The 5,457-nt window shown below is 36.8% G+C and overlaps 2 annotated features.

The window, feature by feature from the left end:
- Window positions 2,258–2,441: a silencer, noted in NCBI's record as "fragment chrX:106640109-106640292 (GRCh37/hg19 assembly coordinates)". NCBI's record gives its function as "represses an EF-1alpha promoter that drives an FKBP-Casp9 reporter gene in an ReSE screen in HepG2 liver carcinoma cells {active_cell/tissue: HepG2}" and the evidence as "EXISTENCE:reporter gene assay evidence [ECO:0000049][PMID:32094911]".
- Window positions 3,671–3,720: a silencer, noted in NCBI's record as "silent region_20927". NCBI's record gives its function as "represses an Ori minimal core promoter by ATAC-STARR-seq in GM12878 lymphoblastoid cells {active_cell/tissue: GM12878}" and the evidence as "EXISTENCE:reporter gene assay evidence [ECO:0000049][PMID:35858748]".

Raw genomic sequence — 5,457 nt, forward strand, 5'->3', positions numbered from 1 at the left:
CCAAAGTTTTCTTATAATAGTTTCCTGGTTTCCGGTCTCATATTTAAGTCTCTAATCACTTTTGATTTGGTTTTTGTATATGGTGAGAGATGGGGTCTAATTTCATTCTCCTGTATGTGGATACCCAGTTTTCCCAGCACCATTTATTGAAGAGACTGTCCTTTCCCCTATGTATGTCCTTGGCACCTTTGTCAAAAATGAGTTTACTCTCAATGTATGAATTTATTTCTGGGTTCTCTATTCTGTTCCAATGGTCTATGTGTCTGTTTTTATGCCAGTACCATGCTGCTTTGTTTACTATAGCACTGTTGTATAATTTGAAGTCATGTAATGTGATTCCTCCAGTTTTGTTTGTTTTTCTTAGTATAGCTTTGGCTATTCTGGGTATTTTGTAGTTCATATACATTTTAGGATTGTTTTTTCTATTTCTGTGAAAAATATCATTGGTATTTTGATAGGGATTGCATTGAATCTATAGATTGCTTTGAGTAGTATGGACATTTTAACAATATTGATTCTTCCAACCCATGAACATGGAATATCCTTCCATTATTGTGTCCTCTTCCATTACTTTCATCAGTGTTTTATCATTTTCATTGTAGAGATCTTTCATTTCTTTAATTCCTATGTATTTAATTTTACTTGTAGCTCTTGTAAATGGTATTACTTTCTTGATTTCTTTTTCAGATTGTTCACTGTTGACACATGGAAATGTTACTGATTTTTGTATGTTGATTTTGTATCCTGCAAATTTACTGATTTCCTTATCGGTTCTAATAGTGTTTTGGTGGAGTATTTGGGTTTTTTTCCAAATATAAGATCATATCATCTGCATAAAAAGGATAGTTTGACTTCTTCATTTCCAGTTTGGATGCCCTTTATTTCTTTCTTCACTGGGAGACTTTATTACAGCTTCTACCTCATCATTTGTTATTGGTCTGTTCAGATTTTGGATTTCTTCCTGGTTCAATCATGGTAGGTTGTATGTGTCTAGGAATTTGTACATTCCTCTAGATTTTCCAATTTATTTCCATAGTAGTACCAATGATCTTTTGAATTTCTGCAGTATCAGTTGTAATGACTCCTTTTTCAGCTCTGATATTATTTGAGTCTTCTCTCTTTTTTTCTTAGTCATTCTGAATAATGGTTTGTCAATTTTCTTTATGTTTAAAAAAAGTTTTTGTTTCGTTGATCTTCTATATGTTTTCTTCATTTAAATTTCATTTACAATCTTTCTGCTATGATCTTTATTATTTCTTTTCTTCTACTAATTTTTCTAATTTTACTAGTCATGCATTTGAAATTTTACTGATTTTACTAATCATGCATTTGAAATGTTTCATCTTTTTTATGTAGGCATTTATGGCTATAAACTTCCCTCTTACTACTGCTTTTGCTGTATCCCATAGGTTTTCATATGTTGTGTTTCCAGTATCATTTTGTTCCAAGAAATCTTCAATTTCCTTCTTAATTTCTTCATTGACTCATTGGTCATTCAGGCGCATATTGTTTAATTTCCATGGGTCTGTAAAGTTTCCAAAATTCCTCTTATTTATTTCTAGTTTTATTCCACTTTGGTTAGAGAAGATACTTAATATTGTTTCAATTTTTTTAATATTTTAAGATTTGTTTTGTGACCTAACATATGTTCTATCTTTGATAATGATCCATGTGCTGAGGAAAAAAAATGCATATTTTGCAGTTGTTGGATAAAATGTTCTGTAAATGTATATTAGGTCCATTTGTTTCATAGTATAGATTGTCTCGTGTTTCTTTGTTGGTTTTTTGTCTGGAAGATCTGTCCAGTGCTGAAAGTGGGGTGTTGAAGTCTCCAGCTATTGTTGTATTGGAGTCTGTCCCTCTTTTGCTCAAATAATATTTGCTTTATATTTCTGGGTGCTCCAGTGTTGGGTGTGTATATATTTAGTTGGTGTTCTATAACCTTCTTGTAATTGGATGTTGATATCTTTCTCTAGGTTTAGACAAAGTCTTCTTTACTTTTCCCCCTCTTCTCCTCAAGTAGAAGGAAGCGGTCTTTTTAGGAGCTGTGAGCTGTGCTCTCTGGAGTTCGGGGACAGGTGGTACAAGCACTCCCTTAGCCACCCTGGCTGGTGTCCCAGTAGGTCACATGTTCCCCAAGTCCACTGGTTCTGAGTCCAGCTCAGTACTATGACTTGCCTAGGAGTTGCAGTTCTTGTGACCTAGACTACTTTCAAGTTTTTTTTTAGGGCCGCAGACACCTTTAGCCATTAGTGGTGAGGCTTGGTGGAACTCAAGTTCCCACCACTGGGACGGGCAATTCCCCTCTGGCTAGGGCGCATCTAAATGCTCCCTCTGTGATTGGGCGTCAGCTAAGTTCAGTGCAGTTTTGCTTTCTGTTGTGACAGGGCAGCACTGAATTCAATGCAAAGTCTCATGATTGCTGTGCTCTCCCTCTCCCAAGCAAACAGATCGTCTCTCAGTGATAAATGGTTACTGTCAGGGGGTGGGGGACGAGTGGTGACAGTAATCAAGATTATCTCTCCTATCCTCTTCAGTGCCTATTTCAGCAGTATGAAGTTAAAACCAGGTACTGTGATTATTTACCTGAATTTTTATTCTTATGGAGGTGCTTTTTTTCGTACAGGTAGTTGTTAAATTTGGTGTTCCTGAGGAGCAGATGATTGGTGGAGACTTCTATTTGGTCATCTTGCTCCACCTCCTCTCCAAAATATATGTATTTTTTAGTTAGCTGGGTGTGGTGGTGCATGCCTGTAGTTCTAGTTATTCTGGAAGCTGAGGTGGGAGGATCCCTTAAGTCCAGGAGGTCAAAGCTACAGTGAGCTATGATGGCACCGCTGTACTCCAGTCTGAGCAACAAAACAATACCCTGTCTCTAAAAAAACAAAAAAACCTTTCAGATACTTGAAGTACAATTATCCATGTGTCCAAGTTCTTTAATATTTTCTTTGTTAGTGTTATTTCCTAAGCTTTTCAAGCTACAACATCCTGGACTGGTACATGCTTTCTACACCTCTCAAGGCTAATATACTATCTTAATAAAGGTGAGTTCACAGGATAATCTGAGCAGCTGTTGATTGTGAAAGTGGATGTGAGATTTTAAAGTTTGAAAAGTGACATGAAAATACCAAACCTATTTGAAATGTTCAGGTTGAAATGTTCAAATTAAGAGTAATGTTGAGAGACAAGAGAGTAAAAACATGTACAATAATGGTTTAATTCACATGCATGAGTCAATCATATTAGTAGGTGGGTGGTACTAGAAGTGGGTGGAAATAGGATGGTGAAAATGAGGGAGAAAAACCAACTATAAAAAAATGTGCCAATTCAAAGTTCAGAGGAACTGTAAGTGAATCAATTTGTATTCCTGCAAAATAATTTACACAATGATCTGTCACATATCAAGCTTAATATGACATTCTGCCTCTGGTATCCTTATGAGGAAGTGTCAAAGAGCCCAACATTTCAGTTTTTTTCATTGGTAATTTCAAGCTCTGTAGCACTGTGGTTCTATTGTATTTTGTCCTTTTGAATTTTTCCCACATTTCCCCACTTTTGGTGGTTCTTTCTCTTTGTTTTTACTCCCCACAGCTGAACTGCTTCCTCCTGCCCACCCCTCTTTGCAACTGTGGAGCCCCACCCTGGCCACTGTGCTTCTCCAATGGCCTTGACCACCACTGCAGCCACCATCTAAAGAGAATTGAGAGATTCCTCTCACTTCCCCTTTTTCAGGCTCCCAAGTGCTGCAGCAGCAATAGTAGCCTTGTACATATTTTTTGGTAAACATAGTTGCACTTCTGTTGAGTTTATACTTAGAATTGAAACCATTAAGTAATGCAGTATGGATATATACTCTCCTTTGAAAGATATTGCCAAGGAGTTTTCCAAATTATTGTACCAATTTATAATCCTACCAGTGATGAATAACAATTCAAGTTTCTCTTCATCCTTGCTAAACAGTTGGCATTGTCTTTTTTTTTTTATTCTTTCATTTTAGCCATGCTGATGAAAATGTAGTGGTATCTTACTTTGGTTTGCTGTTGTTGTCCATGTCTTTCTTTTAATTATTTTGAAATAATTGTAGACTCATGAAAAAGTTACAAAAATAGTACAAAGCATTCCAAGATACCCTTCACCTAAATTCCCCTCATATTAGAATCTTATTTTTTTAAGACAGTGTCGCACGCTATTGCCCAGGCTGGAGTGCGGTGGCTGGCACTATTACAGCTCAAACTTCTGGGCTCAAGGGATCCTCCTGCCTCAGCCCCTCAAGTAGCTGTGACTACAGCAGTGTGCCACCATGCCAGCTAACGTTAACATCTTAAACACCCATGGTTCAGCTTTAGCAATCATGATATTAATATTGATCCAATACAATTAACTAATTTACAGGCCTTATTTGAATTTTGTCAGTTGTCCCACTAATGTCTTCTTTCTGGTCCAGGATCCAATTGCATTTAATTATCATGTCTCCTTAGTCTCCTCCAATCTGTGACAATTCCTCAGTCTTCATCTTTCATGACTATGGAGGGTTAAATAATGGCCCCAAAGATGTTCATGTTCTAATCCCAGTCTTATATGACAAAAAGGACTTTGCAGATACTATTAAGTTAAGAATCTTAAGATGGGGTGATAACTCTGGATTGTTCAGGTAGCCCCAATGTAATCACAAAGGTCCTTAATAAGGGGGAAGGCAGGCAGGAGAGAAGAGTCAGTAGTAGGAAATACAACAATGGAAGCAAAATGGTGGAGCAGTGTAAGGAAAGGGTCATGAACCAAGGCATGCAGGTGGCCTCTAGAAGGTTAAAAGAAAAGGGAATTGATTCTCCCTTTAGAGACTCCAGAAGGAATGCAGCCCTGCTGATGACTTAACTTTAGACTTCTGACTTCCAGAACTGTAAGAAAATGAATTTGTGTTACTTTAAGCCGCTATGTTTGTGGTAATTTGTTACAGCAGCAATAGGAAACTAATACAATGACCTCTATACTTTTGAAGAGCACTAGTCAGTTATTTTGTAGAATGTCCCTAATTGGAGCTTGTTTGACATTTTCTCATGATTAAATTGAAGTTATGCATTTTTTGGCAAGAATATCACAGAGGTGATATTGTACTCTTCTTAATGCATCATGTCAGGGGGTATGTGGTGCCAATATGCCTTATTACTGCTGATGGCAATCTTGATCACTTGGCTAAGATGGTGTTTACTCGGTTTCTCCACTATAAAGTTGTTATTTTCCCTTTTGCAATTGATGAATTTTGCGGGGTAAATACTTTGAGACTATACTAATATCTTTTTTCTCTTTACACTTTTGCCCACTAATTTTAGCATCCATCAACATTTCTTGCTTGCAATAATTATTACTGTGATGTTTGCCTAATGATAATTATCTATTTCCGTCATCCTTTATACACTTATTAATTGGAATTCTTCTATAGGAAAAAGCTATCCCTGGCTT

Source organism: Homo sapiens, chromosome X (assembly GCF_000001405.40).
Source record: "Homo sapiens chromosome X, GRCh38.p14 Primary Assembly".
In the NCBI taxonomy this organism is placed as follows: Eukaryota; Metazoa; Chordata; class Mammalia; order Primates; family Hominidae; genus Homo; species Homo sapiens.